Raw genomic sequence first — 24,507 nt, 5'->3', positions numbered from 1 at the left:
AAATTATTGGAGTTTGTGCTGCTTACAGTCTGTGGTCAACTTCAAGGGCTCAAACACGATTCCATCGGAGAGAATGCTACTTTAATTATTTTTACATTTGTACAGGTAAACTAATTGTGAAGAGCTATAGTAAAGTAGATAAAATTGGAATAGCACAAAAGTAGAATATTTGTTTAGAGGATATCTGAAGATCAACTTCCTTTAAAATACAAATTGCTTCCTAGTCCTTAACCACAATTTTTTGAGTTATGTTATATGGAAATTATGTTCAAAATTCACATCTAGGCTCAGTGGTTCACAAAACAAAACACAGAAAATGAGCTTAAAATCATAAAGCAGAACTTTCAGGGGGAAAATCAGTTTCAAAGTAAAATGCAAGGTAGGATAGAATCAGTTTTTATAATTGAAACCACTTTAAAGGTTAAGAACAGTAGTATAGGGGCTGGGCGTGGTGGCTCACGCCTGTAATCCCAGCACTTTGGGAGGCCGAGGCGGGCGGATCACAAGGTCAGGAGATCAAGACCATCCTGGCTAACACGGCGAAACCCCGTCTCTACTAAAAAATACAAAAAATTAGCCGGGCGTGGTGGTGGGCACCTGTAGTTCCAGCTACTTGGGAGGCTGAGGCAGGCAAATGGCATGAACCCGGGAGATGGAGCTTGCAGTGAGCCTAGATCGCGCCACTGCAGTCCAGCCTGGGCGACGGAGCGAGACTCCATCTCAAAAAATAAAAAATAAATAAAATAAAAAAGAACAGTAGTATAAATAATAATGGTATCACATGCAAACCTGTCGGATCTTTAGAAAGCATTTTGATTTTGGTTATTTTCACAAATTAGAGCATTTAAAATGTAAGTAGATACATTTAATATATGATGTGTTGCTATAAATTATTTTTAAAAATCTTAAATACTTTTGTCTGTGTTTAAAGACTGGTTCCACCACTTAGCAGCAGTATGACCTTGGACAAGTTATTTAATCTCCTTGTCTGTCAATTTCTTCAACTGTAAAATGAAGGTACAATTTACTGTAGTTGGTTTTTGTGAGGATCAAATGAATAAACCAGAACAGTGCCAGGTGCAAGGCATACACTGCATAAGTGTTTGCTGTTTTTATTATGACATGTGATGAGCAACTCGGGGAAGTAATTTACCTCTGGAAAACTCAGCAGATTTAACAAGGGTAAAAATAAAGATTTTTAGTAATACAGGTTTAGGGCAAGCGTGGGGGCTCACGTCCGTAATTCTAATGGTTTGGGAGGCTGAGGCAGGAGGACTGTTTGAGGCCAGGAGTTCACAACCAGCCTGAGCAACATAGCAAGACCCAATCTTTACAAAAACAAAAATCAAAACATTATCCAGGCATGGTGGTGAAGGCCTGTAGTCTTTGCTACTTGGGAGGCTGAGGCAAAAGGATTGCTTGCGCCCCGGAGTTTGAGGCTGCAGTGGGCTATTATCAGGCCACTGCACTCCAGCCTGGGTGACTGAACAGGACCCTGTCTCTAAAAAGTTAAATAAACAAATAAGCGTAATACAGGCTGTCCCTTCCATTAACATTTATTAGTAGATTTTACATTATATATTTCTGGGAGCAAGTTTTCAACTGGATTTTTAAAAAAGTTTTAGGGAGGTATAATTGATACACAAATTACACACTGAAATGTACAGTTTGAAAAGCTCTGACATATATATACCCGCATGAAAGCCTCACTACAATCAAGATGGAGAACATATCCACTACCCACAAGCTGCTTCATGCCACTTTGTAATCTCTACCACCTCCCCACCAGGCAACCACTGATCTGCTTTCTATTACTATATATTTGTCAACTAATATGTTTAATCAGCAATTAATGGTGGTATTTATTAAATATATAACTGATAGTAGAAAAAAGTTAAGAACTATAAAAAGGTAGCTTATGTTGGTAGACAAAAAAAACCTAAAAAAGGTAATTTTTAATGATGGAGGCAATTTAGGGTACTTATGTGAGAAAATTAGAAATAAAAGTTACAAGTAAAAATTTATGAAAAAATTATTTAACTAAGAAGTAAAGTTGATTTGTGATATTACATAGTAATTGACAGTGTTGCTAACATCTTTATATGGCTTTCATATTTTTACATTTCACTCATAAAGTCAGTCTATAGGGATTGGTTGGTTGTTTATTAGTGCCAGGAACTAGGAGGGATCCTTGTGGCAGGATCCATATGTGGCTATTTAAACCTGCTCAAGAGCTACACATGACTAGTAGCTACCATATTGGACAGTGCAAATATAGTAACTTCCATCATTGCTTAAGTGCTACTTTAAGCGCTGATTTAGAAGACTTCTGAGGTATGTGATCTATGATGGAAATGAGGAGAGTCTAAGCTGAAGCTATGGCAATGAGATGAACAGAAGGCATCTCTCTGAGATACTTAGTGTGATGAAAAGCAATGTGGGGGGTGCCTTCTAGGTTTTTCCGTAGGGTAAAGAGGTGGACTGTAGAACCGCTTACCAGCATTGAATGTCAGAAGAGCAGGATTTGGCAAAGGGGATGAAATCAGATTTGGATCCATGAGAGAGGGGCAACTCTGGGACAGGCCAGCGGTATCTCAAAGGCTGAAGGATCTCAGAATGTGATCTGCGGAAAGTCTGTGAAGACAGAGCTCTAAGGAAGGAACAGTAGCCATGGGTAAGGACTACAGCCATGCACTAGGGTAAGGACACTCAGGGAAAGTAGGCAGCATGAGATGGTCAGAAGCTAACATCAGGGCCTGGGGTACAGTAACATTTAGGACAGGGTTTTCAAACTGTGAATAGGTAATGAAATCAACAAGAGATCTCCACCAGCATTTAAAAATAGTATAAAAATATTAATGTGCTTTACATATAATTTGGGTAAAGATCTTTTCCTGTACCTTTTTTTTTTTTTTTTTTTTTTTAGTATTTATTGATCATTCTTGGGTGTTTCTCAGAGAGGGGGATTTGGCAGCGTCATAGGACAATAGTGGAGGGAAGGTCAGCAGATAAACATGTGAACAAAGGTCTCTGGTTTTCCTAGGCAGAGGGCCGCCTTCCGCAGTGTTTGTGTCCCTGGGTACTTGAGATTAGGGAGTGGTGATGACTCTTAAGGAGCCTGCTGCCTTCAAGCATCTGTTTAACAAAGCACATCTTGCACAGCCCTTAATCCATTTAACCCTTAGTGGCCACAGCACATGTTTCAGAGAGCACGGGGTTGGGGGTAAGATTAACAGCATCCCAAGGCAGAAGAATTTTTCCTAGTACAGAACAAAATGGAGTCTCCTATGTCTACTTCTTTCTACACAGAGACAATAACAATCTGATCTTTCTTTTCCCCACATTTCCCCCTTTTCTATTCGACAAAACCGCCATTGTCATCATGGCCCGTTCTCAATGAGCTGTTGGGTACACCTCCCAGATGGGGTGGCGGCCGGGCAGAGGGGCTCCTCACTTCCCAGACGGGGCGGCTGCCGGGCAGAGGGGCCCCCCACCTCCCAGACGGGGTGGCGGCTGGGCAGAGGGGCTCCTCACTTCCCAGACGGGGCGGCGGCCGGGCGGAGGGGCTCCTCACTTCTCAGACAGGGCATTCGGTCAGAGATGCTCCTCACACCCCAGACGGGGCGGTGGGGCAGAGGCGCTCCCCACATCCCAGACGATGGGCGGCCGGGCAGAGACGCTCCTCACTTCCTAGACGGGATGGCGGCCGGGCAGAGGCTGCAATCTTGGCACTTTGGGAGGCCAAGGCAGGCGGCTGGGAGGTGGAGGTTGTAGCCAGCCGAGATCACGCCACTGCACTCCAGCCTGGGCAACATTGAGCACTGAGTAAGCAACACTCCGTCTGCAATCCCGGCACCTCGGGAGGCCGAGGCTGGCGGATCACTCGCGGTCAGGAGCTGGAGACCAGCCGGGCCAACACGGCGAAACCCCGTCTCCACCAAAAAATACGAAAACCAGTCAGGCGTGGCGGCGCGCGCCTGCAATCGCAGGCACTCGGCAGGCTGAGGCAAGAGAATCAGGCAGGGAGGTTGCAGTGAGCCGAGATGGCAGCAGTACAGTCCAGCTTCGGCTCGGCATCAGAGGGAGAGCTCGGCATCAGAGGGAGACCGTGCAGGGGAGAGGGGAGAGGAGAGAGGGGAGAGGGGAGAGGGGAGAGGGGAGAGGGGAGAGGGGAGAGGTCCTGTACCTTTTTAATGAATATATTTACACACATATATGTATACTGGGTTGCAAGGTAAAACATATATCTGAGTTGTCTTCCAATTAGTTTGAATCTCACCAGTTTATAAAATGAGCACCATCGGCTGGGCGTGGTGGCTCACACTTGTAATCCCAGCACTTTAGGAGGCTGAGGCAGGTGGATCACTTGAGGTCAGGAGTTGGAGACCGGCCTCACCAACATGGTGAAACCCTGTCTATACTAAAAATACAAAAAAATTAGCTGGGCGTGGTGGCATGTGCCTGTAGTCTCAGCTGCTCAGGAGGCTAAGGCAGGAGAATCACTTGAACCTGGGAGGCGGAGGTTGCAGTGAACTGAGATCGTGCCATTGCACTCCAGCCTGGCGACAGCGTGAGACTCCATCTCAAATAAATAAGTAAAAATAAGTAAATAAATAAATAAACAAAAATAAAATAAAATGAGCACCATAGACTATCACCTACATGGGAAGTGAGATAGTGTCCTTTTTCTCATCATTGCCTGAAATTCTGGCACGTAATAGGCACTCCGTAAAGACATATTGCATAAAGGAATGAATCAACAAGCCAGAGAAGAGGAAACCCAGTACCAGGGTGACTCAGAAGCTAAATGATAAGAAAAAAGAGAGAAATAACCCAGTGTCAGATGTCAGTGATGTGGCAATATTGAGAGCATGGATGACCTTATCTTTGTAATTCCTATGAATTGGCAGCATCCGGAGCCAGACTGTAGGGGTGAATGGGAAGGGAGGAAGTGGAGAAAAGACAAATGATAGTGGAGACTGAGAGGCTGTTTGTTTTGTATTGAAGATGTGAAAGTTCAGTATGTATTCTGGAGAAATTATATAGAAAAGGCAGGTTCTAAAAACGTGCTGTCCAGGAAAGGAGAAACTAGCTACACAGAGCTATTTAAATTAAAATAAAAAATACAACTTCTTAATCACAGTAGCTCCATTTCAAGTTCTAAATGGCCACATGTGTCTACAGACTACCATACTGTGCAGAGCTGATTAACATTTCCTTCTTTGCAGAAAGGTCTTTCAGACAGTGCTGCTGTAGACAAAAGTTTTAATTCATCATGTTTGTGCTGGCTTCAATAAACAAGTTCAGGTTAAATCAATGCACAGCATCGCCCAATCTCTTCCTACCCAAAACATTATCCAAACCCAGCAGAAAAACTATTGTGGGATTATATCACAATCTATACATGATAGATTCACATGTGGTCTCAGTGGGTGAGAGTTAACCTTGGAAGAGGCCAGTGGAGACTTTAAAGGAGCTGCTAAATCTCAGGATGTGATCTAGGGGTCTGGCCATTATATGTATTCATAATGTTTTCCCACCAAAGATCTGTGACACGTAGCAGCAGTTTGTGATTGCTAAGCATTACACAGAGAAAAGGAGCTATGGGATGGGGTATAAGAATGACAGGTATTGGAGCAGTGCTGAATAAGAAAGGTTAGATAATTCAGGCTAGGGTAGACAGAACATCCTGGGTAAAATGAGGTTATTACAGTGAAATTCTAGTTCTACAAAAGTAAAGTGACTGGTAGACAACAAATAAATCATGTTTATCACCTTATATTTAATTTTTATGGTTTTTGTATGGCACCTTAATAATAAAAAGGACTGTGGTAGAAGACTGAGGCATTATTATCCATCAAAGCTGTCCACTTAGACAATGTTACTCAAGGTCCTGCTGACTTATTGAAATTAGAAAAATCACTTTTGTAATTTTAAAAACAAAACCTCCAATTTAATGGAAAAATCTGTTTTCAATCACCTCTTTTAAAGGAATATATTTTGCTCTGCTCAATTTAAAAAAATCGTTATTCATGGGATGAAGGGATAGAAGAAATGGACTGAGAACTGTAGAACTCTTGGCACATGACTCCATCCAAACCTCTGAGTTACTAAGAGACAAACTTTAGCATGCCTTCTAGCAGTGTCAGATCATGTCCCTAGGAGAACCCCAGCTCCCCCATGAAAATGCCTGCCTGAGAAAGCTCAATGCTACCAGGAGAATTTACTATTTGTTCTAGCCAACACCTGATGATAGGCTCCTGACCTCCCTTTCTCAGGGCGTTTATTAAGGGCTTACCATTATGAATCCTTCCTTCTTCTCTTTAAGGTGTTTATGCGTCTGCTACAACTCAAGAGGTCCTTCTAAAGGACCTGAGAGCCATTCCTTTGAAATTGATCGTCAAGAAGGGCAGAGCCTCTACCTCCCAATCTCAGTGCAAGAATAGCAAGCTAGGCTGGGCGTGGTGGCTCACGCCTCTAATCCTAGCACTTTGGGATGCCCAGGCGGGTGGATCACCTGAGGTCAGGAGTTCGAGACCAGCCTGGCCAACGTGGCGAAACCCCGTCTCTACTAAAAATAGAAAAATTAGCCAGATGTGTTGGCATGCACCTGTAATCCCAGCTACTCGGGAGGCTGAGGCAGGAGAATCTCTTGTACTCGGGGGTGGGGGTGGGGCGGAGGTTGCAGTGAGCCAAGATCGCGCCATTGCACTCCAGCCTGGGCAACAAGAGTTAAACTCCGTCTCAAAATAAATAAATACATAAAAAAGCACTCTAACTTCTATAGCTGCTAGCTAGCAGACACATCTGGCCGAATCGCATCTATGCCAATCAAATCTGTAATTTTTCACTTCTCCAACACTATTGAGCCCTGATCACCTTCCTTCCTTCATTCTCCCTTTGAAATGCCCAGTCACTTCTGTACAAATCGGAACAGAGGTCAGTTCTTTTCCTTTCTGTAAGTAGTTACTGAAAAAAGTCTTTTTCACTGCTTCAATGTCTAGCTGGGTTGTCTTTGACAGGATCCAAAAAGGAGGGGAATTCAGCCCATTTGCCTTTTCCATCTGCAGGGCAAAGTTTTGAGTTGACTCTGAGGAAGTTACGCCTTTTGTAAAAACAAAACATCCAACCCTGAATGAAGCCCTTCCCCTTAGGCCTAGGCCCTCCCCTCACCAAGCGACACCTAGAGGTGACAAGCAGGCGCTCGCTCAGGGACCTAGGTAACGATACACAATGCCATGTAACAAACTCCTGCTCATCGAGGGCATCTGACCCTGGGTGCACGAGTGAATTAACTGAGTTAATGTTGACTAAGTTCCTGGTTAGTATTCACGGAGCAATTGGTGACCCCACCAAAACGTCGTTCAAGGTGCAAGGTCCAGAGGCCTCGAGGAGTGGGATTTACACATCGGAGCCGTCCGCTCAGACGCCGTTAGTGGAGGGTTCCGCCGACTTCACGGGAGTGAGGAAAGTCACTTTTGGAAATCGACTTTGCCTTCGCCCGCGAAGCCCGCCAGCGTCCGGACTCGAGTTGCCCCCGGAGCCACTGCCGGAAGTTTACCAGCTCACTTTCGGCGTCGCGCCCGCCTCCGTGGAGCAGGCCGGAAGTGGCTTTCCGGCAGCCGCCGCCGCAGCTCCGTAAAGCAAGATGGCACTACTCACTCTGAGGCTATTATCTCCGTTTTATATCTAGTATTCCTCTTCTCACCAGTTACTCTCGATTTCCGTCCCGCGCCCTAATTTTCTTCAGCACCACATTCTCATGTTTTTCTTTCATTCAGCCTTGGTGGAGTATGGTCTGGAGGCAACCTACGGCTAGCCTGAGCAACGTGGGGCACCATTTTGTACGGAAACTGAAGGCAGGGCGGGGGAGTGTGAGGCCTCCCGAGGAGGCCCGGCTTGAGAGAGAGCGTGGGAGGGAGAGCGTTGTTCACCGATGATGTATTTCCGCTTCTGGTCTGCCTGGTCGTTTTTGGTTGGATCGGCTTGTTGCGGGGAGGGAGGGGGGGAGATTGTTTGCAGCATAGAAGCTCCGCGGACGGGAAGGTAAACTGAGGTAAGGCTGTGCGGGGGGCTTTTGCGCATGGCTGGGTAGAATGGACGGGAGTAGGGTCCTTGGGATTGCGGAAGAGTGTGGAATTGGAGACGGGAGGCTTAGATGTCTCGGGTTGGACAGAGAAGGTGGGGTGGGGCTCGGGGTTACAAGGTGAATCGCAAAGCCGGGCTGGGGTGGAGTGGGACGAGCGGGAGACCACAGGAGATGGAGGAGAGCCTAGGGGTGCAGAGGAAAGTCTCGAAGGCGCTGGTTGAGGAGGGCCTGGGTCGAGAGGAGCTGGGACGGGGGAAGAGTAGAATCTAAAGTCCTTGAGGGCTAAGGAGAGAAGTTGAGGTAGGGACTGGTCGGAATACATGGGTGGGGGCGTGGTGAGAGTGTAGTTTTTGGGAGGCTGTAGAGTTGGAAGGGGCTGGTGGCTGCGGTTTTGATGCTGACATGACCATATACTTGGCCTTTGTTTCTCTGCAGCTCCCCAGAGACGCTCATCCTACAGCCTCAGCTCGGGCCCAGCCTTCTCTCTCCAGCTGCCACCACAGCCTGGAGGCGCCTGCCTCCACCCTCCCGAATGGTGCTCCTCCTAGCAGGCCTCGGTCCAGGATCCAAGCCCCCTTTGCCCCCTGCCTTGGAGCTGTTGCTCCGGGTTTGTCACAGTGGACTCCCTGTGGCGGGAAGGGAAGAACTTTTGCACAGACAAGGCTTCAGCTCTAGGAACCCCACTGACAACTTGAATCTCAACCTCTAACCTAGTGTGAGGTTCTTCCTGTGCCCACCTTTTCTGCCTTTTGAGAAGAGAAACTCTTCTCCTGGCCATCTAGAGCCCAGGAAGCCCCAAGCTGGGGCCCTGGTCCCAGCATGTCAGTCCTCTCTTGTGCATAGGGCTCTGCCCTCCCCCTGTCAGCATGGCTGAGCTCAGACAGGTTCCAGGAGGGCGGGAGACCCCACAGGGGGAGCTGCGGCCTGAAGTTGTAGAGGATGAAGTCCCTAGGAGCCCAGTCGCAGAAGAGCCTGGAGGAGGTGGAAGCAGCAGCAGTGAGGCCAAATTGTCCCCAAGAGAGGAGGAAGAACTGGATCCTAGAATACAGGTGAGAGCACTGAGAGCAGGGAGAGAAGGAGAGCCCAGATTCCAGCCTCCCTGAAGAGTGTTGGATGAATGAGGGCTTAGACTTACTCTGTCCCCAGTCTGCTGGGGCAGGAAAGGAGAACAAGTTTGTCAACAAATCATTGCAGGGTAATGTAACAAGTTCCAAAAGAGTTGTGTGTCTGAAGTGCTGATGGAGTGCAGAGAAAGGCCTGGCCTTAGTGCTTGGGAGGCATTGCTGAAAGCTTCACTGAAGGAGCAAAGTGTCACTTGGCAGTAGATGGAGGAGGCACACTTTAGGTCAGTGGAGGGTAGGTGTGTTGTACTTCTTTCCAGATAAGCAGAGGGGCTGCCACCTTAGTTAGGGATGCTGTGTGAGAGGAGATGACTTTGATACTGGGGGACAGTTTTGAGGCTGAGTGAGAGAATCTTTTCCCCTTTCTCACCTTCTCAGCGGTACCTTCCAGGGATGTGCGGCCCACATTGCTCTGATAATGTGTTTCACCCTTGTAAACAGTGAGACCTTTCCAGTGTTATAAAGGTAGCATCAACTTTAGATCTATAAAGAAACCCCATATGTTCAAGGATTTGTAACTTTTGTTGTGGCCAATCCTTAGTAACATACATACCTGGCCCTCAGGATAGTGGGTCTCCTAAAGGAATGGAAGAGCAGTTTATTGCCTTGGAGTGTCTACAATCTAGTTGGTAGGACAGGCAGATCTTTGTGTAGGAGACCTGGGGGTAGTCAGTGAGGAAGACCAACTCCATGTGGAAGAGATGCCTGGCCAATCAAAGCTGGGTTGCAGTGTTTCAGGGAATTGGCTGAGAATGACTTCCTGAGGAAGCTTCTTGGGCAGGTGACGACCAGGATGCTCCTGCATGTTTGGGGCTTGAGTCTGCCATTTGTTCCGGTCACATCTCCAAGACTCTGATGTTGTGGAAGTGACTCTTCTGTAGGTGAGCAAGAACATATGAAGGCTCAAATTCCTAGGCTTATCTGTCAGCAAACCTTTATTGGATTACTCCAGTGAGTTGGGAAGAAATCAAAGCCAGTCCTGGCATTCTTCCTTCACTCTCTGTGTGGGTTCCTGGGATATGTGTGTGTGTGTGGGTTCCTCTTCTACTGTGTCCATGCTTATAATGGAGCAGTGGTGAGCCATTTGTTTCTGGCATGAGTCAGTAATTTATTTCTGCTCTGCCTGACATTGCATTGAAAACAGCCAATTTTTCTTGCTATTTCTACAGATTTATCATCCTCTGAGGAAATCAGTTGTAGTGAAAAAAGTCTTGGGCTGAGTTTCACGCTACCTCCAACCCCATGATTTATGATTTTTATGGAAGTTTCTTTACGTTTCTGAGCCTCAGTTTCTTCATCTGTAAAGTGAGCAGTTGGTCTAGCTGATTTGCACAACTCATTCTTGCTCTGCTCTGACACAAGTCTACAGTTCTTTCTCAAACTCTTTTTGCTTGTTCCTTGGTGATAGTTTGTAGATAGCACTTTGGGAAAGAGCTGTCTCTCTGTTGCTTGTGGAGGAGGGCTGTGTAATGTGCATTATATGCCTCCCTACAGCCTTCCTTGCCCTGCTCCAGAGAAGGCTTCTGCAGAGGAGAATCCACTGTGGTCTCTTTACTTGGCCTCTACTACTCCTATGTATTTTTCCAGTGTCTGCATAGGCACATGGTAGTAGTAGGAAGAGTCATGCTTGCATTGTGCTGTCTAATAGGGTGGACTAGCTGCATGTGGCTATTTAAACACAATCAATTAAAATTAACATGTAAAAATGCAGTTCCTCGGCCAGGCATGGTGGCTCACACCTGTAATCCCAGCATGTTGGGAGGCCGAGGCAGGTGGATCACCTGAGGTCAGGAGTTTGAGACCAGCCTGGCCAACATGGTGAAAACCCGTCTCTACTAAAAATAAAAAAAGCTAGCCAGGTGTTGTGGCGGGTGCCTGTAATCCCAGCTACTTGGGGGGTTGAGGCAGGAGAATTGCTTGAACCCAGGAGGCGGAGGTTGCAGTGAGCTGAGATCTGCCACTGCACTCTAGCCTGGGTGACAAGAGCGAAACTCCGTCTCAGAAAAAAAAAAAAAAGCAGTTCCTCAATGTTATACTGACAGTGCATAAATAGAATATTCTGTCATCACTGACTCTTCTATCAGATGAGCTCTATGAGAGTTGGAGTACACTGAGGTAGCGTAAGACTTACTTTGCCTCCAGTGAACTTGTGATGTCGCTGGTGCAGGAAAGGTAAAGCAGACCCTCGTCTCTCTTGCTAAACTGCACAACACGTTGTGGAATGTTGTGGGTTGTATAGGGAGGAAAGGTCTAGTAATAGCTTCCCTCATTTGATGACACAGGTGTGGGTACGCCAGTGCTCTGACCTCAGCAGGGAGTCAGTGTCTTCTTGCTGTGTGAGAGAGGCAGCCTGGCTTGAGGGGCACCCTTCACGGAGGAGGCCGGTGGCATTTTGCCCTTCTGTGCTTGGGCTTTCAAGATGAGGAGGAGATTGGGGTGTTTGTCTTTCGAGGTCCCTTTGAGTGTTGACAGTTCACTAGACCATGCACATTGCTCTGATCATGTGTTTCAGTGCTTTAGGTGGGTGTTCATTTCTCTGGATTCTCAGTGCATTTACTGGGTTTCCATCCACCGTCCATAAAAAGCCACCAGGGAGCTTCAAAAATACCCTTACCTGAGCCTTTCCAGACATGTGGATTCTCTTAGTCTGGGTGGGGTGAGAAGGGATTCTGATGTTACAGTCAGAGCCAAATCCACTGGGCCAGGTATATCCCAAAGGTAGAGCGCCTGTTTCGGTATTTTCTGAGGCTCCCGGAAATGGCTGTCCTTCGGATGAGGCCCTGTCTGACCTGGGGCTGGGGCTCCTTTGCAGGCAGGCAGCTCCATGGCCATTTATGGTGGGATTCCTCTGGAAGTTAGAAGGAAGTCAGCTGGTGCCTACCTGGAGCGTGCTGTCCCTCCAGGGAAGGCTGCTGGCTGTGTCTCCTTGTCATGATCTTAGTGGAGTTCTTTTGAGTCCTCCAGGCTCATCCTCAGCTTTCCGAGAGGGTTCCAGTGGAGGGAAGAGGAAAGGAGCGTGGATCTAGGATGGACCTGGGTCTGTTCTGTGACTTTCTCAGCCCCCTCTTAGTGGTTGCATTCTTTCCTCAGATGTGAGTGCTCTCGTTTACCTGCTCCTTTCCAAACTCTCTAGGGTGACTTTGCAACCTCTGTGACCTCATCTAGAAGTATGGGTTTAGCTTTCACAGGACAGTCATCACCCTGGCCCCAGTTACCATTAGTTTGAGTCTTTTGATGGTCTGCACTAGGTGGGGTGGGAGCATCTGCAGCCTGAGTCCCCATGCCTTTGATTCAGTGTCCTGGCATCCTGGGAATCTGACTGCTGTGCCCTGGGAAGGTCACCCTCCCTGCTGGCTGCTGGCTCACTGATGGATGATGCACGTTGATTCAGACTTTGTCCTCCCCAAATTCCGTTTCAGCTGAGTGCCAGGAGTCCCTGGTGAAGCAGGCCAAATGGAATGTGTTGCTGACTGCCCAAAACTGTCCCAGGTCCTCAGTGGATTCCTGCTCAGCCTTTCCCTGGGTGTCGCCTAGGTGGGCTATCCCCCTCCCTCCTGTGGTGACCTTGCCCTCCAGGCTGCTTTGCTCCCCAGGCATCTTCTTGTCCTGTTAGGGAGAGCTTTGTGACTCTGAGGGGACAGATCCCATCAGCAGATGGCTTTCTGTAAATTGCTGGAGGTGCCACTGGGAAGCTAGTTCCCATATAGAAAGATAATGCCCACTCCTGCCACTTGCCAATAGCAACAGCTCTTCTTGTCCTTTTAACAGTAGTAACAACTTATGCTGAGCCATCCAATCCATTGATGATCTTGTCAGGAGCTGGAAGTTGATGACTGGAAGCATTTGAGGCCATGGAATCCAGTGGGGATCCCGTCTTGGACTTTGATTTGCCACATGAACATTGCAGGGTGGCCTTTACCAACTGACCCCCCACAATCAATGTTTGTTGCATTTCCAATCCCTGTCCTTTTCCTACGTGGGCTGTGGTTTTCCTAGATTACAGCACTTCTTTCTTTACTGAGATGTCCTTCCAGTGGTGTCCTCATTCCCAGGAGGGTGGTCACAGTGGAAGGAAAGTGAGATCAAAGGTCGGTCCTGGATCCAGACCCAAGTCTGTCACTAATTTTCCGCCTGGTTGTTTCTCATCTATCAAATGCAAAGTTGCTGAGAAAGAATATTCCAGCAGGAGGTGCTGAAAGAACTGGTCACTCGTCTCCCAGATAGCCTAAAAGCCCCTGTAGGCCTCGTCAAGCCCCAGGAAGCTGGGCCCCCAGGGAGGTAGGTTGCCTTTCAGCTTGACAGACATTGCCTTTTTAGGGCCTGTTGGGGTGATCGTGTCAGTTGCTGGTGATGTCTCTGTTCGGAAGGCACTGTGAAACTTGGAGTTCCATGTGTCTGGTAGTGTTGATGCTGACCCTATGCCTCCTCTGGGGCCCTGAGCTGTGTTGGCTGCCTGTTCTTCCAGAATGGTTGTTATTTTATGGACACTGGGTTGTGGGACACTGTAGATGCATCTACCCAAATACAACAACTTCTAGACCTTCGCCACCCAACACAGGAGCCACATGCCACTGTCTAGGTTGAGATGTGTCACAAGAGTCAAGTGCATACGGATTGTGAAGACTTAGTTTAAAAAAGTAAAAGTATGGATAATAATATTATTTTATGTTGATCACATGTTGAAATATATTTTGTATATATTGGGTTAAATGTATTTTTATAATTTCACTCTTTTTTTAAATTTTTTTACTTTTAAAAAATGTGGCTTCTAGAATTAAAAATTCCATGTGCAGCTCCTGTTACGTTTCTGTTGAATAAGTCTCTTCGAGAAAATTTAGAGCAAGCTTTTCCAACCCGTGGCCTGTGGGCCGCATGCAGCCCAGGATGGCTTTGAACACGGCCCAATGCAAATTTGTAAACTTTTCTTAAAACATTATGAGATTTTTTTTTGTGATTTTTTTTTTTTTTTTTTTTTTTTGAGACTGAGTCTTGCTCCTTCACCCAGGCTGGAGTGCAGTGGCACAATCTCAGACCACTGCAACTTCCGCCTCCCAGATTCAGGTGATTCTCCTGCCTCAGCCGTCCCAGTAGCTGGGACTACAGGTGTGTGCCACCATACCCAGCTATTTTTTTGTATTTTAGTAGAGATGGGCTTTGCATCATGTTGCCCAGGCTGTTCTCAAACTCCTGAGCTCAGGCAATCTTCCCACCTCGGCCTCCTGAAGTGCTAGGATTACAGGTGTGAGCCACTGCGCCTGCCCACGATTTTTTTTTTTTTTTTTAAGCTCATCAGCTGTAGTTAGTGTTAGTGTATTTTATGTGTGGCCCAGGACAGTTCTTCTTCCAGTGTGTCCCAGGGAAGCAAAAAGATTGGACATCCCTAGTTTAGAGCCAGATTTGTGGCCCTCCTTAGGCAGGGTCTACACTGTTGTAGGTAGGTGTGTGCATTTTCATATCCTCATTCCTCGTTCCATTACAGGTTTCTACCTTTGTGTTCTTCCTGTTACTGTAATTAACATGTCAAACCATTTCCTGTATTCTTACCTGCTGACCCAGATCTTTTCAGGATCAAGGCAGGGGATGGGGGGAGGATAGAAGAGGTAGAAGGGACTAAAAGGAAGATTGTGCATGTCAGCCTGACTCCCTCACTGGGTTGCTGAAAGGCCCGAATGAGGTGAGTGGGGGCCAACATCACGGCCATATGAGTGGGAAGTGATTGTGGTGTCACTGCCAAGTGCAAGTCATGGGTCTGGGCAGCAGGCACATGCTGGGCTGGGTCTCTCTGGCCTGTCCAGCCTCCTGTCCAGAGACAGCAGGGGCTGGTGAAGGCAAATCCTATAGCTAGGCACCAGGTATTTCCTGGCACAAGGCCCTTGGCACAGACCAGCACTGCTCCTCAGTAGTGTCCTTAGCTCACCAGGGGCTCTGGGAACTTTTGTGTTTTCTCGGGCAAGGGAGGATGACTTGAGGCCAGTACCCCTCTCAGCTCTCTTCCATTTCATGGAAAGCCCTGGATGGTTCTATTGCTTCTCTCTCCAGTCCTTCCAGGGGCCAGGAAGGCACTCAAACCAGCTTGTCCAGCAACTTTTCCCCAGGACTCTCCCTCCCTCCCACAGGATCTGCTCTATAGGGACCTGCGGTCATGGTCACCCATTGCCCAAGCAGGCCAAAAGGCTTCTTGGACTCTATACACTTTCCTGATCTTGACCTTAGTCATCCACCAAGCCCCTGTGATTCTGTGTCCTGCGTTGCCTTGGGATCTGCCCTCTCCTCTGCCACCTGGAATACTATAGACAGCCTCCACCTTTTTTTTTTTGTTTGTTTTTTGTTTTTGTGATGGAGTCTCACTGTGTCGCCTAGGCTGGAGTGCAGTGGCACGATCTGGGCTTACTGCAATCCCTGCCCCCCGGGTTCAAGCCATTTTCGTGCCTCGGCCTCCCAAGTAGCTGGGATTATAGATGTGTGCCACCACGCCCAGCTAATTTTTGTGTTTTTGCTAGAGACAGGGCTTCACCATGTTGGCCAGGCCGGTCTTGAACTCCTGGCCTCAAGTGATCTGCCCACCTCTGCCTCCCAAAGTGCTGGGATTACAGGTGTGAGCCACCATGCCTGTCCCAGCCTCCACTTTTGTCTCCCTGGCTCCCCCAGGCTTTCGTTACATTGGCACCAGGCTCTGAGAGACCCTTTTGCCATTGCAGAAAGTCCTGGTACTACCTCCCATAGTGCTGTAGCCTTACTGACCTTCTCACCTGCCAACTTGTCTGCCCAGGGTACCTGCTCCCCTTTGGTTCCTTGGCCCTTTGTTCTTCACTGGCACTTTATTTTTTTGAGACAGAGTCTCGCTATGTTGCCCAGGCTGGAGTGCAGTAGTGTGATCTTGGCTCACTGCAGCCTCTGCCTCCCAGGTTCAAGTGATTCTCCTGCCTCAGCCTCCCAAGTAGCTGGGACTATAGGTGCACGCTGCCACACCCGGCTAATTTTTGTATTTCTAGTAGAGACAGGGTTTCACCATGTTGCCCAGGCTGGTCTCAAACTCCTGACCTCAGGTGATCTGCCTGCCTCGGCCTCCCAAAGTGCTGGGATTACAGGCGTGAGCCACCTTGCCTAGTCATTCACTGGCACTTTTGTGTCTATGAAGTCCTTCCAGCTGCTGAGCAAGTGTTCCAGGCATCCTACCCTGACCTTCTGCTGCCCAATTAGGTGACCTTGCTACCCAGAGAGCACCCACACCCACCCCTCACAAGGCTGCACATACTGCCCAGGACCTGCTGCTGACTTGCTGGGTTTCCTTACAGGCTGCCACCTCTATGTCCTGAATTCTCAGGTCTCACGGTCCTGAGAGGTGATAAGTGTGCAGTAAACATGTGCTGACTGAGTGGCCCTGCCCTGGCCCAGGTGGCCATCCTCTCGCAGAGAGCGAGCCTTCAGGTCCAAGGAGACTCCCTCAGTTTGAGGAAGTGTTGCAATCTCACGGAGAGAGTGAGGGCTCACCACAACTTCACGTTGTGCATATTAGTGTTGCATTCTCCAAACCTCAATTTCTTCATCCTTGAAACTGGGGTTTTACTACCCAATACAAGGTAGAGTTGTGAGGATTACGTGAGATTGTATGTATCAGGTCCCTGATAGACAAGAAAGCTTTTGGCAATCTCCGTATCTTCTTTCCTTTCCTGAGTGTCTCACCTCATTTCCCTGGGCAAGTGGGGCTCTCTCTCTCTGTGTTGCTCCTGCCTTGCATGGTTCATTCAAGGCTACTTCCTTCCACTGCACTAATTTGCCACCCCTCTCTGTGGCAGGAGGAGTTGGAGCACCTGAACCAGGCCAGCGAGGAGATCAACCAGGTGGAACTACAGCTGGATGTGAGTGTCCTTTTCCTTATGTGCTTGGGCTGGTCCTTGGAAGTATCTCCATCTGTCTCTTTCCCAGATTGAGGCAGTGGCGGTGGGAGGGGTGTGTCTGAGAAACAAGAGGGGCTGGGACCCAAACATGTGCCTTTCCTCTGCCTTGTTCCTTTCCAGGAGGCCAGGACCACCTATCGGAGGATCCTACAGGAGTCGGCGAGGAAACTGAATACACAGGGTTCCCACTTGGGGAGCTGCATCGAGAAAGCCCGGCCCTACTATGAGGCTCGGCGGCTGGCTAAGGAGGTATGGCTGGCTGACCACGTTTGAGGAAGGCTACGTGCTGAGCCTGGCCCTGGATTCTTCTGTCTCTATATGGAGTGAGAGACAAAACACCAGACCCTGAGGGCAGAGCCCTGGGCTAGACCTGGCTGGTCGGAACCAGCTCTGTGGGCTCAGGAGGTTCCTTTACCACGTGGGCTCTGGGCTTATGGTCTATAAAATGGTGAGGGTGGCTGTGGGAGAATATTTAGTTCAGCCCTGCTAATGTTTAAGTGCCTTCTGTGTATCAGGAATCAGGCTTTAGGGTATATCAGATATGTCAGTTCTAACATCCTGTTGTTTTCATCTGCGCCCATTTCCTCTTCCCTTTGGTTCATGTCTCTCTTCTGAATCTTTTCTTTGCTTACTCCTCACTCTTTTCCCCATCCCACACCCCTTTTTTCTGTAACAAATTACTTTTAACAAATAATATGTGTTCACCATTGGAAAAACATAATAAAACAAGAAGGAAACAAAAATCACCCAAAATCCTACCATGCACGTTTCATGCATTTTGTTTCCTGGGATTTGTTGTCATCCTGTATGGTGAGGTGACAGATACAGACAACTGCCTTGGAAGAAGAGTTTGTTCCCGAGAGGAGGGGACATCCATGCCATGCAGGGCCACACGGGGAAGCAGCCAGGGTCCTTCAGGAGGCAGAAGTGAAGGAGAAAGCAAAGCGCAGCGCCTTAGTGTGGTTTTCGTGGAAAGGAGTAGGTGAGGCAGGGTAGGCAAGTTTGGATAAGTTTAGGAGTGGATAGTTGGAATAACTTTGCTAGGCCCTGGGCTATAGGGGCGGCCTCTAATTGTCTAGTACCTGGCCCTGGGATGACTTAGGGCAGAGGAAATATCGGCTTGGTCGGGGAGAAGTAGGTAAAGGAGTTAGCTGGGGATCCAGGCTTTGGATTAGGTGGTTGGTTTGCATATGAAAGGCACACTTACAGGGGAGTTTACTGTTTCTAGGAATTAGCCCTGGAAGGGGCAGTTTGTCCTTGGCCAGCAAGGTCCCCCAAGACATGAAAGCATCATAAAGTATAGAAAATAAAAATATGATTAATACAGCACAGATAACCATGTGTGCTGTATTAATCATATTTCGTGTCCTTGTATATCCAGCCAAAATGGGATTACACAGTATGTGCTATTTTGTTCTTTTATTAGCATTATGACATGGTTCCATGTCAATAACTATACATCCAAGCCGTCATTTTAAAGGACTGATTAATATTTTATTTTTTTAAGAAATGGGGTCTTGCTCTGTTGCCCAGACTGGAGTGCAATGGTGTGATCATAGCTCACTGTAACCTCAAACTCCTAGGCTCAAGTAATCCTCCTCCCTCAGCCTCACAAGTAGATGGGCTCACAGGCAGAAGCCACTGCGCCCAGCTTATTTTCTTATATTAGATGTACTATTATTTATTTAACCGATGTCCTATAACTGAAAAGTTAGGTTTGTTTTGTTTTTTGCTTGGTTGGTATGGCTATGATGACTGTCCCTGAGCACTTGTCTGATTACTTCCTTCAGCTTGCCTGCTGAACATGGAATTGATGGTCTCAAGGTCATCTTTTCTGTAAGACTCTGTCTATGTTGCTAACCACCTTACACTAAAATGGTTTGTGTTTTCCTTTGTTTTCCCTAGGGGAAAAGGCTAGCAGCCTTTGGGAGTGCTGGATTTCACACATCTACCCTCCACTGGCAAAATTTTTATTTCTTCTAGTCCATATCCTTATGAAATATTCTTTATAGAATGTTGCTTCCTTGGCATTTATCCTCAGCACAGTTTGGGAAATGAAGCCGACATTGCTAGTAGGCCTTCCTCCTTCTCTTATCCTCACGTCTATTATGGGTCTCCATGGGCAGCTGGGGTCCCTCAGGGTTCCCCATCCTGATATCCCTCTCCCCCCAGGCTCAGCAGGAGACACAGAAGGCAGCGCTGCGGTACGAGCGGGCCGTAAGCATGCACAACGCTGCTCGAGAAATGGTGTTTGTGGCTGAGCAGGGCGTCATGGCTGACAAGAACCGACTGGACCCCACGTGGCAGGAGATGCTGAACCATGCTACCTGCAAGGTGAGCCGGGCGGTGCCAGCAGGTCCCCTTCGCTGGTTCTCGTCCATCCTTTGCTATGTCTTTATCACCTCACCTCCTCATTCTTCCCTCTATTCTAGCCTTCTTTCAACTTTGATTCTGTTTCAGGCAAAACCTGTTCCTAGTTTTCTGTTCTGTTTGGCCTCCATTGCTTCCCATATTCCATTTCCCTCTGACTTAGAATGTCATCCCGGGCTCTTCTTGAACGTTTGCCTCCAGGTGTGGGACTAACCCAAACAATTCATCCCTGGTGGATACTGAGGATTCAACATTCACATTTTATTATGTTTAGCTGTGTGACTCCTCGCTTCTGTTTTCAGAGTCTGCTCCCTTTCCTGCTTTTGAGCTCTGACAGTACACCTCGAGTTTTGAAGTATAATTTATGTATCATTTCCAAGCTCCTGAAAGGGGACTGGGGAGCGGAAGGATCTCTGCCGTTGGCCCTGTCTGCCACCTTCAGCTTGCACAGGGCAGGTGTCAGCAACTCGAGGGGGTGTTTGTGGCTTGTGATTCTTCATCTGCCCCTCACACAGAACAGGCACCTCACTTCTACTCTAGAGCTCATGCAAATGAGAGCACACAGCACGGGGGGAGGGGTTAGGGGATGGTGTATAGTGTAGAGCTACACCTGAACAGGGAGCAGGTGAGGGCTCCAGCCGCTTTGTCTACCAGGACAAGTGGGCCAACTGTACAACACCCTGAGCAGAAGCACGCCAGAGCCCCATCCAACCTCGGCCCACTTGTCCTGGACGGTGCCCACATAGGGTGTGGAAACCTGGAGAACCCAGCGCACAGCTGTGGCTCCCCACACAGGCTCTTCTCACTCCCAGATCCCTAACCATTGGCGCTGAGGGCTCCCTGAAGAGAATGGCTGCTGCAGATGTGTGATGTGCTGACAGACATTCCCCTGATGCTCTCAAGTGGTTGAGTGGGCACCAGCATCCCTTTCCTGGCAGCAGCAAAGCTGAGTAGCCAGTGGTGCAGGTGACACTAGGCAAGAACATGGGGAAGACGTGGCTCAGAGGCATGTGCCTGTGATGTGGTCCTCGACGGTCAGGCAGCAGATCCAAGAGAGACAGAAATAAGCTGTCTTGAGGCTCATAGACCCCGTGTTCCCCTGCGTGTCTCGGGCTCTGTACACAGTTGGGGGTTTGCAGAGGATGTTCCTGTTTGGGTTCCCCCCAGGGCGTTGTTCAGATTGGCAGCCTGGGGCAGATGCCAGAGACTGAAGCATGGGTCCTGGCTCAGTGATGTGTCCTCTGGGCCAGGTGAATGAGGCGGAGGAAGAGCGGCTTCGAGGTGAGCGGGAGCACCAGCGAGTGACTCGGCTGTGCCAACAGGCTGAGGCTCGGGTCCAAGCCCTGCAGAAGACCCTCCGGAGGGCCATCGGCAAGAGCCGCCCCTACTTTGAGCTCAAGGCCCAGTTCAGCCAGATCCTGGAGGTAGCTGAGTGGGTGAGGGGGAGGAGGAATGGGTAGGTGGGGGTGCAGGCTGGAGGGGATGCTGGTCGGCCTCTCTGGGCCATCTTGGTGAGGTGGCCAGGGTGAGGCCTCCGGCTAGCGGTGGGGAAGGGTGGTGGCACACATGTTCCAAATGACCTTGCAGGAGTGAGAGGCAGGGATGGGGGCTGGTGATGGGGGCTGGTGACGGCGAGAACGTAGTTGGAAGAAGGGAGGTAAACAAGAGGAAAAGAACTGGTGGAAATCTGGGATGGGGAAGAAGAACCAGCCATTGGGTGAAAGGGAACAGTGGGGAGAGGATGAGGAAGCAGGAGCTGGTGGAGAGGAAGGCCTGAGAGGAAGGCTCTGGAAGGTGGGGCTCAGGTCAGGAGCAGGATTGCTGGGGAGGAACAACGCAGAGCAAGTGGAGCAGGGAAGGGTGTTGTGGGTCTGTGGTGGGTGCTGAGAGTGGAGCAGGGAAGGCTGTTGTGGGTCTGTGGTGGATGCTGAGCCAGCTGTCCAGGTATTCTGGGAGAGCAGGCCCTCAGACCTCAGTGCAGAGTGCTGAGGAAGGTGGAGACGTGCCCCATGGGTCGCCTTGCTCTGCTCTGCCCTCTGCAGGAGCACAAGGCCAAGGTGACAGAACTGGAGCAGCAGGTAGCTCAGGCCAAGACGCGCTACTCCGTGGCCCTTCGTAACCTGGAGCAGATCAGCGAGCAGATTCACGCACGGCGCCGCGGGGGTCTGCCTCCCCACCCCCTGGGCCCTCGGCGCTCCTCCCCCGTGGGGGCCGAGGCAGGACCCGAGGACATGGAGGACGGAGACAGCGGGATTGAGGGGGCCGAGGGTGCGGGGCTGGAGGAGGGCAGCAGCCTGGGGCCCGGCCCCGCCCCCGACACCGATACCCTGAGTCTGCTGAGCCTGCGCACGGTGGCTTCAGACCTGCAGAAGTGCGACTCCGTGGAGCACTTGCGAGGCCTCTCGGACCACGTCAGTCTGGACGGCCAAGAGCTGGGAACGCGGAGTGGAGGGCGCCGGGGCAGCGACGGCGGAGCCCGTGGGGGTCGGCACCAGCGCAGCGTCAGCCTGTAGCCGAGGGGCCAGGGTTCCTGGCTTGAATCTGCCACCACGGGCCGGTTGGGGCCCACAGTCTTCTCACGCCCTCTCCTCTGGGGCCTCGTCTTCCCGAAGGTCCCCTTCTCCAGTGCTTCCCTGGGAGAGGCCAGCTGTGTTCGAGTCCTCTGTGCCTGCCCTGGCGTTCTCACAGCCTCCCCCTTCCCCTCAGCAGGCGGCTCTCTTTGCCTTACCCATTCAGAAGGCTCGCCCTCGGCGCTCTGTCTGCCTCTGCCTGCCAGCTCATCACGATCTGCAGGGCATTGACCCTTTGCTTTCCCTTTCTGCTCCCTCTCTTTCCATCTGTTTGGCTTTTTCCCTCAGGGAACTTGGTCTAGAAGGCACTGGGAAGCTCATCAGAGAAAATGGGTGCTGGGCCTGAGTACTCCCGTCGGAGGGGATGGACAGTCACCCCTCCCGTTGGTTTCCAGCCCCGCCCCCCTTCCCAAGGCAACTCTGGAGGGTACCCTAGGTATGCTGCTGAGCCCTGCCCCCCGTCCTGCTCCAGCCTGCCCGTGTGTAACCTGTAAGATGTACTGTGTGCCTCCGGAAGACACCACCTTTCCCTTCAGCATTCCCTTTCATGACCTGAGGCACTCTGCGATGTGTGCCCCAAAGCAGAACTTACAGGGCCTGCAGGAAGCTGGTGTCAGGGAGAGAAACCCAACCCCACTGTCAACATAGGGAGCATCACCAACTCCAGACTGGCTCCTGTGGGTATGGTGTTTCCGCTGGGCTGGGTCCTCAACATTGCCAAGGTGCTAGTGGGTCCCTAAGAGGGCCCATGTTGGGGGTGAAGTCATGAGGTCCTGAAGGCTTAGGCCCCTGTCATTCCCACCCTCACTCTTGCTGCACAGTTGTGTTTACTTTTTCTGGGTAGAGGATGCTGAACTGACTCAGCACCCTCCTGCAGGACGGGGTTAGGGAATTTGGTGCTCAATTGCTCTCCCTTGCTCTTCCCCAAACTGAAAATACCTACTGCAGGATCCCTCGGGGCACACTGAAGCTTGGCTGCCAACCCTCTTACTTCCTTTGTTACAGGGAGGGGTTGGCTTGGGGTGAAAAGTTCTGCCCTCCGCAGGGAGCAGCTCCAGCTGCCTGGCAGTGCTCCCAGTTTGTAGGGAAGCCACACCAGATCTGGGTGCCTTGGGAGAACCAGTCCTTCCTTTTGACCCACCCCAGGAAGATGGAGTGCTCTTTTCTAGGCCCATGTTCTGCCAGCAACCGGGATGCGTGGGCAACTGGACTCTGCACGGGGGTCTACAGGTTGAGGGAGGTTGGTCACAATGAGAACCTCGGGGTTTGAGGTGGCCATGGGCAGACAGCCGAAAGGGAGGGAGGGTGTGGGTGTGCGTGTGTGCATGTGCTGGTGTGTAAGGGGGAAAGGGTCTTTCCTGGTTTTATTTAAATAAAGTAGTTTATGTAACAGTTAACATCTACTGTCCTTGCTGGAGGAAGAGAAAAGGGGCAAAGATGAGGCAAGGGTTGGGCAAGGGAAGAGCAGGGTTAGGCGGCAGGCTTTTTAGATGGTGTGGTCAGGGAAGGGAGGTGAAGGACCAGATTGAGTGAGCTGCGCTATGCATGCTCTTGCGGGGGTGGAAGGCCCCATGGCCAGGGTGGTCATGTACAGGGCAAGTGTAGAGAAGCAGGGGAGGAGTTGGTGCCTCATGGGGCCATGCTGTGTGAGGTGATGGGTGCCAGGAGAGGGTTTGGTAGAAAGGGGCCTGCGGGGTGGAGTGGGCTCTGTCTGAGCTAAGAGATGAGAGTGCCAGAGGGTTGGGATCTTAGATGTGTCTGGATGTGAGCATGAATGTAGAGAAGGGACACAAGTAGTGATGCCAGATTTATCAATACAGTGAACCCACTGAAATTTCAGATAGGCAGTATTTTTGTCTGCTGCAGTGTTTAGGATGTACTTACATTATGAATTATCCGTTGTTTCTCTGAAATTAAAACCTAGATAAAAGGTGACTTCCAAGTCAGGGCTTGACTGGCTGGGGGATGGGAGGGGTTTGAGGGCACTTGAACTCACAGGTGGGAGATTGGATAGGGATGTGAACTCCAGGAGCTTTGAAGAAGAGCAAAAGGCTTTGTTTAGCCTGAGCTGCACTTGGAGTGTACCAGTATTTGGAGTTTTGTTGAGAAGAGGTCAGCCAAGGGAAGAAGAAGGTGCTGGCAGGGAGGAAGACCAGAAACCTTGGGGTCAAGGGGCAGGGTGAAGGCCAAGAATTGGAGGCACGCAATCAGAGCAGTGACCCTGGTGGCTGTGGACGCCATCTGAGGGGCCATCTGGGGCCGCTATGTGCTGAGCACTCACTGTGCCTTTGGATGGGTGCTGTCCAGGAGTTTGAGATTGCCTTCCCTGACTTGGCAGATGGGTGTCATAATATTTTATTACTAGAAAAGCTGCTATGAAAATGCATAGCATATGTTTTTGGGTGAGTGGGCTTTTTAAATTTTTTAAATTGTATGTATAGGAGGTGAACAACATGGTA

The 24,507-nt window shown here is 49.7% G+C and overlaps 1 protein-coding gene and 1 non-coding gene across 8 annotated transcripts, besides 10 other annotated features; one reads left to right on the top strand and one right to left on the bottom strand.

The window, feature by feature from the left end:
• Positions 7,080 to 7,630: an enhancer, noted in NCBI's record as "H3K27ac hESC enhancer chr1:249120460-249121010 (GRCh37/hg19 assembly coordinates)". NCBI's record gives its function as "activates a minimal SCP1, AML or CMV promoter by ChIP-STARR-seq in naive H9 embryonic stem cells {active_cell/tissue: H9 hESC(naive)}" and the evidence as "EXISTENCE:reporter gene assay evidence [ECO:0000049][PMID:30033119]".
• Positions 7,285 to 7,384: an enhancer, noted in NCBI's record as "active region_2878". NCBI's record gives its function as "activates an Ori minimal core promoter by ATAC-STARR-seq in GM12878 lymphoblastoid cells {active_cell/tissue: GM12878}" and the evidence as "EXISTENCE:reporter gene assay evidence [ECO:0000049][PMID:35858748]".
• Positions 7,448 to 7,514, bottom strand: MIR3124 (microRNA 3124). Its single transcript, NR_036070.1, has one exon. It is a non-coding gene; the product is annotated as a microRNA 3124 (primary transcript).
• Positions 7,455 to 7,504: an enhancer, noted in NCBI's record as "active region_2877". NCBI's record gives its function as "activates an Ori minimal core promoter by ATAC-STARR-seq in GM12878 lymphoblastoid cells {active_cell/tissue: GM12878}" and the evidence as "EXISTENCE:reporter gene assay evidence [ECO:0000049][PMID:35858748]".
• Positions 7,615 to 7,874: an enhancer, noted in NCBI's record as "active region_2876". NCBI's record gives its function as "activates an Ori minimal core promoter by ATAC-STARR-seq in GM12878 lymphoblastoid cells {active_cell/tissue: GM12878}" and the evidence as "EXISTENCE:reporter gene assay evidence [ECO:0000049][PMID:35858748]".
• Positions 7,615 to 8,182: a biological region, named in NCBI's record as "H3K27ac-H3K4me1 hESC enhancer GRCh37_chr1:249119908-249120459".
• Positions 7,631 to 8,182: an enhancer, noted in NCBI's record as "H3K27ac-H3K4me1 hESC enhancer chr1:249119908-249120459 (GRCh37/hg19 assembly coordinates)". NCBI's record gives its function as "activates a minimal SCP1, AML or CMV promoter by ChIP-STARR-seq in naive H9 embryonic stem cells {active_cell/tissue: H9 hESC(naive)}" and the evidence as "EXISTENCE:reporter gene assay evidence [ECO:0000049][PMID:30033119]".
• SH3BP5L (SH3 binding domain protein 5 like) lies at positions 7,976 to 23,445 on the top strand. Of its 7 annotated transcripts, NM_001322462.1 has the most exons (9): positions 8,525 to 9,138; positions 12,630 to 12,744; positions 12,979 to 13,488; positions 17,007 to 17,069; positions 17,229 to 17,357; positions 19,014 to 19,180; positions 19,281 to 19,442; positions 20,729 to 20,902; positions 21,521 to 23,445. In NM_001322462.1, the coding sequence occupies exons 6-9, from the start codon at positions 19,163 to 19,165 to the stop codon at positions 21,989 to 21,991; spliced, it is 825 nt and encodes a 274-aa protein (NP_001309391.1). In that variant the 5' UTR covers positions 8,525 to 9,138; positions 12,630 to 12,744; positions 12,979 to 13,488; positions 17,007 to 17,069; positions 17,229 to 17,357; positions 19,014 to 19,162; the 3' UTR covers positions 21,992 to 23,445. The 7 variants fall into 7 exon arrangements, with proteins under 7 accessions (NP_085148.1, NP_001309393.1, NP_001309391.1 ...); NM_030645.3 differs by lacking the exons at positions 12,630 to 12,744; positions 12,979 to 13,488; positions 19,014 to 19,180 and adding an exon at positions 7,976 to 8,056; NM_001322464.2 differs by lacking the exons at positions 12,630 to 12,744; positions 12,979 to 13,488; positions 19,014 to 19,180 and adding an exon at positions 7,976 to 8,056 and having other exon boundaries at positions 20,646 to 20,902.
• Positions 8,245 to 8,304: an enhancer, noted in NCBI's record as "active region_2875". NCBI's record gives its function as "activates an Ori minimal core promoter by ATAC-STARR-seq in GM12878 lymphoblastoid cells {active_cell/tissue: GM12878}" and the evidence as "EXISTENCE:reporter gene assay evidence [ECO:0000049][PMID:35858748]".
• Positions 11,982 to 13,181: an enhancer, noted in NCBI's record as "P300/CBP strongly-dependent group 1 enhancer chr1:249114909-249116108 (GRCh37/hg19 assembly coordinates)". NCBI's record gives its function as "activates an origin of replication core promoter dependent on BRD2, BRD4, P300/CBP, MED14 and CDK7 cofactors, with strong dependence on P300/CBP, by STARR-seq in HCT116 cells {active_cell/tissue: HCT116}" and the evidence as "EXISTENCE:reporter gene assay evidence [ECO:0000049][PMID:35650434]".
• Positions 14,707 to 15,001: a silencer, noted in NCBI's record as "tiled region #9626; HepG2 Repressive non-DNase unmatched - State 15:Elon". NCBI's record gives its function as "represses a minimal TATA promoter and a strong SV40 promoter by Sharpr-MPRA in HepG2 cells {active_cell/tissue: HepG2}" and the evidence as "EXISTENCE:reporter gene assay evidence [ECO:0000049][PMID:27701403]".
• Positions 21,482 to 21,531: a silencer, noted in NCBI's record as "silent region_2049". NCBI's record gives its function as "represses an Ori minimal core promoter by ATAC-STARR-seq in GM12878 lymphoblastoid cells {active_cell/tissue: GM12878}" and the evidence as "EXISTENCE:reporter gene assay evidence [ECO:0000049][PMID:35858748]".
• Positions 23,446 to 24,507: the final 1,062 nt, after the last annotated feature.

Source organism: Homo sapiens, chromosome 1 (genome assembly GCF_000001405.40).
Source record: "Homo sapiens chromosome 1, GRCh38.p14 Primary Assembly".
Classification (NCBI taxonomy): Eukaryota; Metazoa; Chordata; class Mammalia; order Primates; family Hominidae; genus Homo; species Homo sapiens.
The sequence above is the reverse complement of the archived record's forward strand: the minus strand, read 5'-3'. Positions and strand labels throughout refer to the sequence as shown.